This window comes from Homo sapiens, chromosome 22 (genome assembly GCF_000001405.40).
Source record: "Homo sapiens chromosome 22, GRCh38.p14 Primary Assembly".
NCBI classification, from domain to species: domain Eukaryota; kingdom Metazoa; phylum Chordata; class Mammalia; order Primates; family Hominidae; genus Homo; species Homo sapiens.
In genome coordinates, this window is record NC_000022.11 from 21,936,030 (window position 1) to 21,949,218 (window position 13,189).

The 13,189-nt window shown below is 55.8% G+C and overlaps 1 protein-coding gene and 1 long non-coding RNA gene across 3 annotated transcripts in view, besides 5 other annotated features; one reads left to right on the top strand and one right to left on the bottom strand.

Annotated features, from left to right (window-relative positions):
• PPM1F (protein phosphatase, Mg2+/Mn2+ dependent 1F) overlaps window positions 1–13,189 on the bottom strand; it is a 33,424-nt gene that overhangs the window by 16,605 nt on the left and 3,630 nt on the right. The window contains exons 2-3 of one of the 2 annotated variants that reach the window (NM_014634.4): window positions 9,814–10,079; window positions 3,503–3,651 (exon numbers count right to left, since the gene is read on the bottom strand). In NM_014634.4, the coding sequence (NP_055449.1) occupies window positions 3,503–3,651; window positions 9,814–10,019 (355 nt within the window). In that variant the 5' untranslated portion in view covers window positions 10,020–10,079. The remainder of the gene's footprint in view (window positions 1–3,502; window positions 3,652–9,813; window positions 10,080–13,189) is intronic. The other variant, NM_001410836.1, reaches the window with a different exon arrangement.
• Window positions 1,825–2,631: an enhancer, noted in NCBI's record as "H3K27ac-H3K4me1 hESC enhancer chr22:22292226-22293032 (GRCh37/hg19 assembly coordinates)". NCBI's record gives its function as "activates a minimal SCP1, AML or CMV promoter by ChIP-STARR-seq in naive H9 embryonic stem cells {active_cell/tissue: H9 hESC(naive)}" and the evidence as "EXISTENCE:reporter gene assay evidence [ECO:0000049][PMID:30033119]".
• Window positions 2,183–2,342: a silencer, noted in NCBI's record as "silent region_13518". NCBI's record gives its function as "represses an Ori minimal core promoter by ATAC-STARR-seq in GM12878 lymphoblastoid cells {active_cell/tissue: GM12878}" and the evidence as "EXISTENCE:reporter gene assay evidence [ECO:0000049][PMID:35858748]".
• Window positions 2,208–7,405, top strand: PPM1F-AS1 (PPM1F antisense RNA 1). The gene is made up of 2 exons (NR_147620.1): window positions 2,208–3,584; window positions 5,073–7,405. It is a non-coding gene; the product is annotated as a PPM1F antisense RNA 1 (long non-coding RNA).
• Window positions 2,632–3,439: an enhancer, noted in NCBI's record as "H3K27ac-H3K4me1 hESC enhancer chr22:22293033-22293840 (GRCh37/hg19 assembly coordinates)". NCBI's record gives its function as "activates a minimal SCP1, AML or CMV promoter by ChIP-STARR-seq in primed H9 embryonic stem cells {active_cell/tissue: H9 hESC(primed)}" and the evidence as "EXISTENCE:reporter gene assay evidence [ECO:0000049][PMID:30033119]".
• Window positions 3,440–4,246: an enhancer, noted in NCBI's record as "H3K27ac-H3K4me1 hESC enhancer chr22:22293841-22294647 (GRCh37/hg19 assembly coordinates)". NCBI's record gives its function as "activates a minimal SCP1, AML or CMV promoter by ChIP-STARR-seq in primed H9 embryonic stem cells {active_cell/tissue: H9 hESC(primed)}" and the evidence as "EXISTENCE:reporter gene assay evidence [ECO:0000049][PMID:30033119]".
• Window positions 7,906–8,405: an enhancer, noted in NCBI's record as "H3K4me1 hESC enhancer chr22:22298307-22298806 (GRCh37/hg19 assembly coordinates)". NCBI's record gives its function as "activates a minimal SCP1, AML or CMV promoter by ChIP-STARR-seq in naive H9 embryonic stem cells {active_cell/tissue: H9 hESC(naive)}" and the evidence as "EXISTENCE:reporter gene assay evidence [ECO:0000049][PMID:30033119]".

The window sequence follows — 13,189 nt, forward strand, 5'->3', positions numbered from 1 at the left end:
GTGTGTGGTGGTATATCTACTCCCAGCTATTCGGGAGGCTGGGGCAGGAGGATCCCTTGAGCCAAGGACGTCGAGGTTACGGCGATCTCCGATTACACCACTGCATTCCAGTCTGGGTGACAGAGGGAGACCTGGTCTCTTAAAACAGAAAACTAAAAAATGGATTTTAATAGAGTTTATAAGCATGTAAAATGCTTCTGTCATGATACTAAGTGAAAAAAGAAGGAAAATTACATATGCAGTTTAACTACAAGTCCATGAAAAACCACCAGGGCCAGAAAAAAAAAAAGGCGGGAACAGCACACAACCAAGGTGTCAGAGTGGGCCTGCACGTGGCAGTTCCACGGACAGCTTTTTCCTGAAGTACACTTTCTTAATACTTCCCCAGTTTTTCATTACAAGTGTTAGTCTCGTGTGACAGTGGCTTTAAAGCATGTCCACAAATTCTTTGACTTCCCCTTTTGCGAGGTGGAGCTCACTTCCCACTGCTGAGTGTGGGAGCTGGCTGCTTCTGATGAAGAGTGGCAGTGACTGCGTGTGCTTCAGGTGTTACGAAACAAAGAGGCCCTGCGCCTCCCGCCTTGTGTATTCTCACTCTCTTCCTCCCTCCCTCTCATCGCTCAATCTGAGCTGTGAGGATGCTCAAGCAGCGCCACGGAGAGTCCACATGGGACGGGACCAGGGCCTCCTGTCAGTGGCCGTGTGTTGAAACCACCGTGGAAGCAGGCCCTCCAGCCCAGCCAGCAACCATGTCACCACAACCCAGTAAGAGACCCTGGACCAGAACCAGCTAAGCTGCTCCCAGATTCCAGACCCACAGAAACTGGGAGAATAAATGTCTGTTGTTTTAAGCCACTACATTTGGGGCAATTTGTTATGTAGCAACAAATAATATAAGCCACAATACTCATTTGAAAAGAAAAAATACCCAAATCCTACCTAAGCTTGGCTTCTCAAGAAAAGATCAACCAGTAACAGGCCCAAAGGAAACCATGGGGGCTCTGGCTTCAGGGACTCATGTCACTTCAATGCACAAACTCTCCTGGAACTCCTGCCAGCCCAGGTGCATGTGGCAAGCATGGTGAATCAGGGCCAGTCAGCCGAGGGCAGGAGTTGAGTGTCACAGGCCACACCCAAAGGACATGGGGAACTGAGAGGAGGAAAGAGCTCCTGCCTAAAGGCGGAGGCTGTGGAAGAAAAGGAGAAGGGCTGAGGCCAGAGGGGGCCACCGAGGAAGAACCATGAACGCGAGGGCTTATGCACGCAGGAGGTCACAGAAAGACAGGTTCTTGGGAATCCATGCATCAAGGCAGGGGTGGGGGCATCCAGAGCCAGCTGCTGCCGCCATGGCCAACACAGGGGCCTATTCAAGCATTTGGCAAGAACTGGGGACTGGCAAGGCTATGGGTGAAGGAGGGGCCTGAGAACTCATTCAGGCAGGCCCAGCTCAGGGAAGGCAGCTCCACACAAGTTTGGCCAGTGGATCCCCTGCAAACCAGCAGGAAACCCCCCTCGTCCTGCCAGTCCTTGTAGCGCTGCCTCCTCTTCCTCTCGTCTGAGGGCCACTGTGCCCAGAAAACTGCCCCTAAATGCCATGGACTCCTCCTCACTCCCTCTGGAAACTGTGGGCTCCTGGTGCTTACCAGGCCTGAGCTCGGGCTGGGGGAGACTCCGGCCGCCGCTGTGGCTCACGGTCTCGCCCCGGGTGCTACTGCTATTTCCAACAGCCGCTTAGCCTAGACTCTGCTCAGGAAAGGCCAGCGGCTGAGGCAGTGCTGCCCAGCCCACGGACTCCCCATGCCAAGGGCTGCAGCCCCGCAACCTCGCTTCTGGATTCTTCGCTGATCCAGTCACCGGGGAGGGGCTGACTGGCAGCCACACAGAGGTTTCAGCCACTCGCTGCTCTTCAGTGGCAATTCTTATAATACAATCCCCACTCTGACGCAATTTTGTAAGAATGGCTTGGAGTCCAAAAACTTGACTACATTCTACTTCCGTGACAGGGAGAGCATGATCAAGGCCGCTAGGCAGGCCTGCATGCGAGGCACTCTGACAGACGGGGAAGCAAGGGCAGGCGAGACTTCCTTCTAGCTGCGCCCTCCCTCCTTCCCAGGCCTGCAGGAGCCCCGAGCGTAGGACTGGGCTGGTGCCGGCGCAGCAACGCTCCTTCTCACCGGCAGGTGGCGCTGTCTCCCGCGTGGACGGACAGAGACCCATCAGGCGGGGAGGGCCTGGGCGGTGGCGGCGCCCCCTTGGTGGGGCCGCAGAGCGGAGGAGCAGCAGCTGCCACCGGCCGGAAGCCTGCTGGCTCGGCCGAGAACAATGGCCGCCTGTCACTGTGGACAGCTGTCTCCCAGGCTAAGGCAAGGCTGCGCTCCCAGGGAATGCGGGCAGGGAGCCAGGGCGGAGGGCAGAGGACGAGAGCGAGGAGGAGAGCGCGGGCACCCACTGATGCTGGCGGCCTCGGGTATTCGCTTTCTCTCTCTTCTCCCACCTTGTTCCTTTTCCCCGGATGCACGCATGCACTAGTAATGCCGAATTTAGAACAACAGGGAAAGGAAAGGAAATGGCAAAGGAAGGGAAAGGAAATGGCCGACAGGAAATGGCAAGGAAGGGAAAATCCACTGCAACTCTGCTGCCTGCTGGCCTGTCCAGGGACAACTATTCAGCTGGGTGGGACGTTGCTACCCCCTTGTGGCACCCCTGCTGCAGCCTGCGATTCTTACGCCCTGTATTTCTGGTCTAACATCAACCAACACTTTGGCGAAATATAATAAAATGAAATTACTAGGAGAATGAAAGAAAGTCACATGAAATAAAAGCCCTGCTTTTTAATGATTATATCCTCTGTGAAATGGATCTGCAGCCCTCTCCATTTCTGGGTTCCCCTGGCCACACCATGCTTATGGCTGTCCCAGGAGCAGGCTGACAGACAAGCTTCCACCAGCATCTAACCATGGGGCTCATGGACACCGTAGAGCGTCTCCACCCAACAGAATCCTGACTTGGGGGCAGCTGAGGCAGGGGGCCCGAGCGTTGAGGGGACCACGCTGCTGCCCCGAGACCTGCTGGCATGCCACCTGGCCAACCCTGACTTCGCCTGCCCGGGCGCATGTTAACTGAGTTACAACACTGAGGGCACTTGAACCTGGCTGCATGACCAGAGATCGATCACCTGTGAGATCCTCTGTGAAACGGGATAAGCATCTTTAATTTCCTGGGCTGTTCTGGAACTTCAGTCAGACAGGACACAGGAGGGTGTCTGCACCACCCACCCCTGCCTCGTGGGCTGACTGGGAACTATATGACCTGTGGAGGGCTGTGACCGCCACCCTCCACCTCACTGGGGCCGCAAGCCTTCTCTGCTCCTTGATTCTGCTGCCGTTGTGAGCGAGGGCCCCAGCACCCTTAGGGACCCCAATCAATGGGCTTCCCACAATGTCGTCACCCTTTGTTGCCTGCTAAGCAGCCCTGGGGCCACCTCAGAAGAAACAGAACTCACAGGTCACAGGGGCCTTTTCCTCCTCGTCATCGTCCTCCTCCTCTTCTTCTTCCTCCCTGGGCAACTTCCTGAATTCGGAAAGGTCTGTCTGTAGCAGCTGTGAAACTGCTTCGTGGGCCAGAGCAGCAGCAAGTGGTGGCGGGGCCTTCCTAGGGATGAGGAGGGGGAAGTGAGGGGCAGCCCCCAGCAGGAGACCACACCTAGCCCCCCTTCCCCAACTGTCAGCCCACATGCTGAGGGGTCACGGCCAGCAGGGCGGCCCCTGTCCTCAGGGAGCTGGGACAGGAAGGTCACAGGACAGCAAAGGCAGACGCACAACCATCTGGTGGGGAGCTGGACCATACTTGAGCCTGCGGCTAGTTGGGAGGGGGCTGTTGATGGGCAAGTAAACTGCCTGACATCCATGCTGATGATGGCTCCTGGCCACAGGAGGGCAGAGGAATCACCCATGCCAGCTGGGGACCCTGGGGGGTGGGGAGTGTTCTGGGTTGAATTGTGTCCCCCCTAAATTCATACACTGAGGCCCTAACCCCCAGTACCTCAGAATGGAGCTCATTTGGAAACAGGGTCATTACAGATGGAATTAGTTAAGATGACGTCATGCTGGAGCAGGCTGGGCCCCTACTCCAATGACTGATGTCTCTATGAAAAAGGGAATTTGGGCCGGGTGCGGTGGCTCACATCTGTAATCCCAGTACTTTGGGAGGCCAAGGCAGGTAGATCACGAGGTCAGGAGTTTGAGACCAGCCTGGCCAACATGGTAAAACCTCATCTCTACTAAAAATACAAAAATTAGCCGGGTGTGGTGGCGCATGCCTGTAGTTCCAGCTACTCAGGAGGCTGAGGCAGAAGAATTGCTTGAACCTGGGAGGTGGAGGTTGCAGTGAGCCAAGATTGTGCCACTGCACTCCAGCCTAGGCGACAGAGCAAGATGCTGTCTCCAAAAAAAAAAAACAGGTTGGGGGAGGAATTTGGACACAGACACACACACACAGAGAGAATGCCAGGGGAACATGAGGCAGAGACCTGGGGGATGAACCTACAAGCCAGGGAATGCCAAGGGTTGCCCACAAACCACCAGAAGGAGCCAGTTCTGTCAATATCCTGATCTCAGATGACAGCCTCCAGCACCATGAAGCACACTTCTGTTGTTTAAGCTGCTGGGTCTGTGGTCATTTGTACAGCAGCTCCAGGAAGCTGATCCTGGGGTGTGGGACCCATGGGCACACTCAGCAGAGGAAGTGGCTGTGCGTGGTCCACAAGGTCCCTGGGCGGATGGGGCCATAGGAGCTGCCGGGGTGAGGGGCTGTGGGAACAGGGCAGGCCAAGCTTTATGCTAACAGGGAAGCACTGCCATTGGTCTGTGTTTTATTTATTTATTTTTAGAGACAGGGTCTTGCTCTGTCTCCCAGGCTGGAGCACAGCTGTGCAATCATGGCTCGCTGCAGCCTCAAACCCCTGGGCTCAAGAGATCCTCTCACCTCAGACTCCAGAGTAGTTAGGGCTACAGGCAGTAGTTAGGGCTACAGACATCACCATGTCCAGCTAATCTGTAAATTTTTTTGTACAGGTGGGGTTTTGCTATGTTGTCCAGGCTGGTCTTGAACTCCTGCCCTCAAGTGATCCTCCCATCTCAGCCTCCCAAAGCCCTGGGATAATGGCGTGAGCCGCCACACCTGGCCGCCTTTGGTCTGTTTGAAGAGGGACATGGCATGATCAGATGGGGCTTTTAGGCCTCTCTGACCCTGGTGTGGAGGGTGGGCTGGCAAGAAGGGGACGACTGTCTAAAGGAGAGAGTCTAAGACCTGGGCTGGGCAGGGCCATGGTGACAAACAGGAGCAGACAGAGTCGGGCAGTATAAATGGAGGGGCAGGGACAGTGTTGAAGTTTCTATTCTGAGCAACTAGAAGGCTCGTGGTACAGTTAATTACCCTGATGGGGATGGAAGAGTCAGGCAGGGGATGGGCAATGGGCTCTGTTTCCACAGCGACTTGTGTTCCACGGAGGTCAAGAGGCCTGAGGGCCTGCAAGAACATGGTCTGGGCAGGAGATGGAGCTGCGGAATGAATGAGGATAGGGGGCTGAGTCCCACAGGGCCAGAGCATGGCTAGCAAAGTGGGGATGACTCCAGGAGTGGCCTTCTGGGTGCCACGAAGGAAATGTTTTAAGAAGTGAGATTGGGTCACTGCTTTCAATGTCATAGAACAGAGCTGAGCAGTTGAGGAGGCGTAGTGGGTAGAAAGGGAGGTCGCAGCAGGCTGAAAGCAAACCGACAGGAGGGTTAGCGTCTTTTAGCAGGTAGGCAGGGCAGAAGAGAGCCACGGGGCAGATCAGGGAAAGAAACACTGAAGCCATCTGTGGCTGAGAAGGAGGGCAGTGGGGAGGAGTGTCTAAAATTCTGAGCCATCCCTGGCTTTTCTGGGCAGAAGGGGTCGCTCCCTCAGTGGCCCTATGGCCTCTAACATGCATTTTGACCCCTGGAATCTGCCTTCTCACCCAGTGGGGGCCCTGGAAGCTGGACAACACACATTCACCCCTGTGTGCCTGTCCCTGAGAGTGGGGGTCAGGGGAGCATGCCTGGGGTGGCGAGGTGATTCTGCACTGGGCCGACACTCCCGGCTTTAACTGGAAGGCGAGGACCTTCCAACAGCACAGGCTGACAGGTCTTGTTCCATGGGGGCTGGGCACCCAAGGTATCTACTGATGGTCTGAGGAATCTACCGGGATGGATTCCTGATTTTTTTTTTTTTTTTTCTGAGACGGAGTTTCGCTCTAGTTGCCCAGGCTGGAGTGCAATGGCGTGATCTCAGCTCACCACAACCTCCACCTCTCGGGTTCAAGTGATTCTCCTGCCTCAGCCTCCTGAGTAGCTGGGATTACAGGCATGAGCCACCATGCTCAGCAGATTCGTGATTTTTAAAATGAAAGGGTGACTCATGGGAGAAGCCTCTGGAACTGCCTTTGAAAAACAACCAGCCAAGACATGAGAAATTAGTTCCTCTGCCATTTGGGGGTTTCCTGCCAACTGCTGGGTTTTCCTTTTGCACAGCAGGGAGGAAGGACGCCTGTTTCCCTTGGTCCCGGTGAGGCCAGGCCTCAGCTTCCTGCCCACCCGCCACTGCTGCTGGGGCAGGGAGGCAGTTTCCGGCTGTGGGGACCCAGACAATGCCTGGCCAAGGGCCACCATCGTCCTCTTCCTGGACACAGCTCCCGCCTCATCCCAGGGTCTGGCCTGGGACACGCCCTAGAGGCCCTCAGCCCTGAGTCACTGCACCATGCAGATCCACCCTGATTCTGGTCCCTGCAGAGCAGGCTCCTACACAAGGCAAGAAGATGCTCCAGGGACAAGCCAAGGTGTATGCAAGGCCCAGGTGCCTGAGAAACACGTCTCACCGACCTTGGGGCAGGGGCTGTTACAAGAGGCTTATAGTCTAGTGGCAGAGACAAAAACCACACTCAAATCATTAGTGTACGGTATGCACTGCTCAGGGACTCAAATATGTGACAGGAGGCTCCAAACAAGAGCGGAGACAAGGCGTAAATAGCCCCCTGTGGACTGGATGTTCTGACTCCTGGATGGCCTCCAGAAGGATGCCTTTTACGGTCTGTGAAAGAGCTCAGGGACCAAGATGCTCAAAGCCCTTCATGCCCAAGAGCCCCTCCTCAGGCTGGGACACGGGAAGCAGAGCTCGGAGGTGGAACTCGTGACTGTGTATGGGCACATGTGAGTGCGTGTGTGTGGACAGCCAGGCTTAGTGTAGACAACGTGTGAGGCTCAGACCCCAAGTGCTGACTACACCTATGCACATCCACACCTGCGTGTGAAAGAAGATGCTAGAAAAGAACAAAAATAACTTAAAAAATAAATCCAATAAGATGGCTGGAACATATAACAACTTCAAATACTCCATTTTAGTTCACCATGTAAGGTGGGTTCCTGGGGGCTGAGGAGACTCGGGAGCTCTGCACCCCTCCTGCTCGCACCCATCACTAGGTGGCTCACACAGCAGCCGCTCAACAAGTCTGGCTGCTCTCGCATCAAAACCAAAACCCACTGCCCTCCCCTGCGCCCCCAGCACTGACCCCAACACTTTGGTTCGGGGCCCTCCTGGGCAGGTCACCTGCACTGCCTACTCACTCCTCAGCCCTCCAGGCCCTCCCACCTTGGATCCTTCCCTGGGACCCTGCTCTGCGCCCTTCTCCCCCTGCCCAGGAACTGAAGGCTGATGTTGTCACCCCGGTGCTGCGGCCTGTCCGTCTTCAGCACCTGTGCCCCACGCAGGCCCAGCAAACCCCTGGGCTCTGTTGTTCCCCGGGATGGCTTTTCCATCTGATCCCCAGCTTGGGGCTGGCACCGCTTGGCTTTGCCCGGTCACCTCATGCTTGGGCCAAAGTGCACCAACCCTTCTGTCCCGGGCCTGGCTTTTTGCCTCAAGGCAGCAATGGCCCCATGCCACCTCCACGAAGACCCAGTGGCTGCAGAACTCCCTGGTCTGGACTCCCCTGCTCCCTGCAGAGTGCCACCTGCTCCTCTCAAGAAGGCAGAACGTGAGGCCTTTCCTCACCTCCCGTGCATTGGCACCCCTGCTGGGCCCACTCTGCTCCACCACTGGGGGCTGATTCACTTTGTGCCACATATCTAAAATATTTCCTCAAAACAAGCCAATAACACCCTTTGCGCATGCCATGACCTCATGGAGCGTGGTCACCGGACATTTCCTCCTGAGCTCTAGGCAGCTGTGGGGGATGCTGGGTGGCATAGCCCTTGCATGTGGCTGACACTTAGCAATGTTTGTGCCCATGTTGCACAGGGAGAGCACAAGTCACTGACTCTGCTAGGGCCTGGGGTCAAGGAAAATAGGCCCTTGGTGGGTGTCAGGAACAGAGTTGATTCGCTGCAAGGGGCAAAGGAAGTGCACACTTGGGGGATACTGAGGCAGCCACCGAGGATGGTGGCTCTGTCAGAGGGAGCTATGGCTGAGGGCCTGTCATGGCTTCAGGTGATATTTCAGGTGATTTGGGTGATGCTGGGACTGGGGACCATGCGCACATCCCCTCAGCAAGGGACTAGGTTCACAGAAACAGCACGCGGCCCACCAGCCTGCTCACCTCCATGAGCTGTCCCCTGTGCCAGACAGACAGCCTAACTCCAAGACCCTGTCTGAGCAGAGAGGGTTCGAGAAAAGACCTTGTCCTTCACCATCTTTCATGGGACAAATGCTTCCAGAATGAATGAATAAATGAAGGGGAGGGCAAGGGTCTTCCAAGGAAAGGACCTCTGAGTTCAGCCTAGGCGACAGCTACACACTGTCTGCCGGTGGACACCCAACTCTCTATCTTCCCCGAAATCTGCTCGGCTAGTTGTGCTACCTCTCTGTGCCTCAGCTTCCTCACCTGTGGAAGGGGGACAGTGCCAGCTATCTCTCAGATCGTGGTGGCTGGGGTGCCATGTGGCTCTGCCACTCCTTGACTGTAAGGCCTCAGGCCAGCCTCTTCATCTACCCACCTCTGCCTCCTCGTCCATCACACGGATCGGAAACAGGACGTACTGCTTATCAGCTGCTATGCAATAAATTGTGTTCCCTAAAAGGTATGTTGAAGCCCCAGCCCCCTGTGGCTCAGAATATGATCTTATTTGGAGTTAAAGTCTTTGCAAATGTAATTAGTTATGTTCACATGAGGTCACATTGGCTGGAGTGGCTCATGCCTGTAATCCCAGCATTTAGGGAGGCAAAAACATGAGGATCCATGGAGCCCAGAAATTCGAGACCAGCCTGGGCAGCATAGCGAGACCCCATTCTCCACAAAAAGAAAGATGAGATCACACTGTAGGAGGGCAGCCCCTGGTCCAAAATGCCCATGTCCTTACAAGAGGAGGAGTCACAGACACACAGCAGGCAGGGTGGGGAGGTGTGAAGGCACAGACACACACATGGGGAGATGCCGTGTGCAACAAGGCCAGCTAGGAGGAATGAGTCTACAAGCCAAGGACCTCCAGGAAGTCAAGGCCAGGCACTAACAGAAAGGCAGACTCTTCCCTGCAGCCTTTGAGAGAGCATGGCGCAGCTGCCACCTTGATCTTGGACTCTGGCCTCCAGCCCTGTGAAAGAATGAGCTTTGGCTGTGTTGAGTGCCCAGTGTGTGGTGCTTTGCCATAGCAGCCACGGGAGTTCCACATGGTGCTGCATAGGGATCCGGGGCTGCAGATCCCCGTGTGGGGCTGGACGTGTAGGGGAGCAGCAGCCACATCCCTTGTCGGCCCTGGTGCCGTGCCCTTACTCCCCGTCCCCTTTGGGGGTGCACAGGCCTACCTGCTGCCCAGAAAGCCCATGGCCAGCTCAGCCAGCTCGCCCTCCACCTCCTCCTGGCTGAGCACCGTCCCTGGGGCCTTCCATGGCAGAGGGTCCTCTGGGTTCAGCAGGGCTGGGAAGTCTTGCAGGAGCGTGTCCAGGAAGCCTGGGGTCTCCTCAGCTCCACTGGCCATTGGGCTGCTCTTCTGTGGGGCTCCAGAGGACATGCCCAAAGCATCCCGGGGGCCTGCAGCTAGGCCAGGGCAAGAGGGTCTCCAGGCTTCACCCTGGGGAGAAATGTCAGAGTCAGCAGAATCAGGGGGCCATGGCACCAGCAATGCAGGTGCCCACCTGCAAGCACCATGTGGCAGGTGCATGGCCTCATGGTTCAGGGCCACTAGAGGGTGGAGGGACAACCCTGGCCACTGTTTTGACATGAGTCCAGGTGGGGACTTGTGGGCATCCAGAGATCCGGTCTCAGGAGATGGTGCCAGGAGCAGCAGCTGGGTGGACATTGTCAAGAAGTGACAGAGGAGGAAGACTGTTCCTGGCAGAGGGTGGCCAGCGTGGCCAGAGACGAGCAGGACAGGGATGCCGAGGCCAGGCACTGAGGTAGGTGAGGGGGTTCAACCTGATCACGGGTCCCGAGCAGCCAGGAGGGCTCTGAGGTGAGGGAGTGAAGCCACCAGGTCTGTGAGCCTGGACGTGGTGACCAGATGGCAGGAGGGACACCTGTTGGGGCTCTAGTGGTGTTCAGGGGAGGAAAGAGAAGGGCCAAGATGCGGGAGGCCGGCCCAGGGCTGTTTTGGAGATAGGCCAGAGTGGGAGCAGGAAGGGATCCCCAGAGGCTGCTGGGGCCACCCAAGGGGTGGCCAGGAGAGAAGCAGAGGTTTAATCTGGGACAGACAGGAGGTGCTGTGGGACACCATCGAGCCTATTCAATGCTCTCTAATAGGAGGAGGGAATTGTGAGCCTAGAATGGCTCAGGCCTGCTAAGCCCTGGCTGGAAGAGGGGCACTGTGGACAGTTCCAGGCGCTGACCCCACTGTGCGGCATGTGGGCTCTTCCTCCCTAAGTCCTTAGGGATGACCAGAGCTGACCAGCCCTGGGAGTTGCCCCTAACACCCCAGGAGCCAGGACAAGCCCCCATTTCACAGATGAGAATCCCAAGGTTTGGAGAGGGTTAGTCCCTCGCCTGAGGTGTCAGAAGGAAGACAGGGCCAAAGAGGGATCGCAAAGCCTGTGCCTTCACTCCCTCACCGGCTTCTCTCTCACTGGAAAGAGGCACATGGTGCCTCACAGCCTCCTCCCAGGGTGGCTCTGGCTCCTCTTCTCTCCTAACTCCGAATCTCCATAGTCGCCTCCCCAGCCTGCCTGCCTTGCCTATACCCAAACAGCTCTCCAGCGCCCCCCCTTCCATGTTCTTTGCGTCGCCCCGGGGATTCACCTCCAGGCCCCACACCTGGGCCTCCCTGCCAGCACCCACTCAGCATGGACCCTTCTCTCTCCTGCCCCCTTCCTCTCGGGTGCCTGACCCCTCCAAACCCTCCCCACAGCGGGGACTCCACCTTGGGCTTTGTCTAACACTCAGGCTGGGAAACTTTATTCAGCGAGTCCTACGCAGTAGTGGATGAGATTGGATCCAGAAAAAAATAAAAAAGAAATCCTACACAGTTACTAAGCCAGGGAGAAAAACTGCATTCTTTTATGGTGACAAACGGACATGAGACTCTGAGGAACACCCCGAGTTCTAGGGTGGAGAATTTGGGGAACAGTTTCACAGCCCATCACCTTCATGAGGACTTCCAGGTTCTGAAAACTGAACGAAGAAGGCAAGGAGAATCTTCTAGAATCATCAGTCTTAGAATAGCCACAGACTCTGCCTACAAACTTTGCTAAAAGGGCGGCTGTGGCAGGGGCCTGAGGTGCAGGATGAAGAGAGTGGGAAGTAAGAGATGCAGGGAGCTCACAGCCCACAAGAGGGCTGTCCTTATCAGGAATTGCTAACTTGGAACAAGCCTTCTGGAAGCCTAAAGATAAAAAACACAAAAGAGAATGGGGTGGGCAGAGGGAAAGGTCCCAGCACCAAGTTAAATGTCTGATCAGTGAGGGATTTGGAATGCAAGGGGTGAAGGGTGGTAAATTAACAAAACACAAAACCCTTCTCTTCTTTTAGAGGCAGAATTGAAAGGTAATTTATTTAAAGTGGACACATACAAATAACGTAGGAATAGGGGTGCTTGCTACTGAAGGTTCTGGGGATAGACTAAATTTATTGCTATGGTTCACATTTACTCACAAGTAGGAGTAAATTTAATGCAACCCAGGTTACAGAAGGCAAGCAGGTAAAAGGATAAAGAACATAAAACAACTGGCAAGGCGCTGTGGCTCAGGTCTATATCTCAGCGCTTGGGGAGGGTGAGGCAGGAGGAGTGCTTGAGGCCAGGAGTTCAAGACCAGCCTGGGCAGTGAGATCGCCACCCCCCCCCCACCCCCCATCTCTACCAAAAAAGAAAAAAAAAGAACATAAAGCAAAAAAGGAAAAATCACTTTGAGAGCAGGAGGGACACTGACATTCAAACGACAAAGGGAAGACTGTGAGCTGGAGAAATGAGCAGAGGCTGGGAGCCCTAGTAGGTCAATGAGGAGGCGGCACGTCCTGCCAGCCATGCCCCAGCAGAGCTGTAAGGCATTCGAAGATGGCGTGAATTTCCCAGCAAGCTTGGCTGCCCTCAAGCAGTGCAAGCGGCCAAGGGCCCCTCTTCTGCCTGGGACTGCCCTGGCCCCTGGAGCTTCTGGGAGAATGTGAACGATGCAGAGCTGCCCCCAGCAACTGCCAGTGCCTGGGGCCTCCTCCCACTCCCTTGCAATTCCAAGTGATCTGGAGGCTCTACTGTCTCACCACAAAATGTGCTCATGTGAATTTATGATTAGGATCCAAGTGAGAGGACAGCATGCTCCCCGCTAGAGCACACAGAGGGCCCCCCTGGAGAAACCCCTGCCCACAGTGTAAAGCCCCACTGTCAAGGGCAGAATTCAAGACCCTTCACTTCCACCCCATTTGCTGGTGACGTCTGCTGGACCTTTTGGGATGCAGGTGCCTCCTTCTTGCCTCCTGACCTTGGGGTACTCTTTCCTGTGCCGTGAGCCCCTCCCCACAATCGGCCTGTTCCCTCAGGGAGGGTGGCTCCTCCTGTCTGCACTACAGACCCTGATTCACTGTGGCCACCTGCCTGCTCTCTCTGTGCCTTGTGCCCACTATCTGCACATGCCTCAATGGTGTCTGTGCCATGTGTACTAAGTAAGGTCTGGGGGGTGTGATGATGTGTGTGTGTGAAGCTCTGTCTGCATCTGTAGAGGGGACAGGCTGGCTTACTCTCAGGGCCTGTGCCAACTG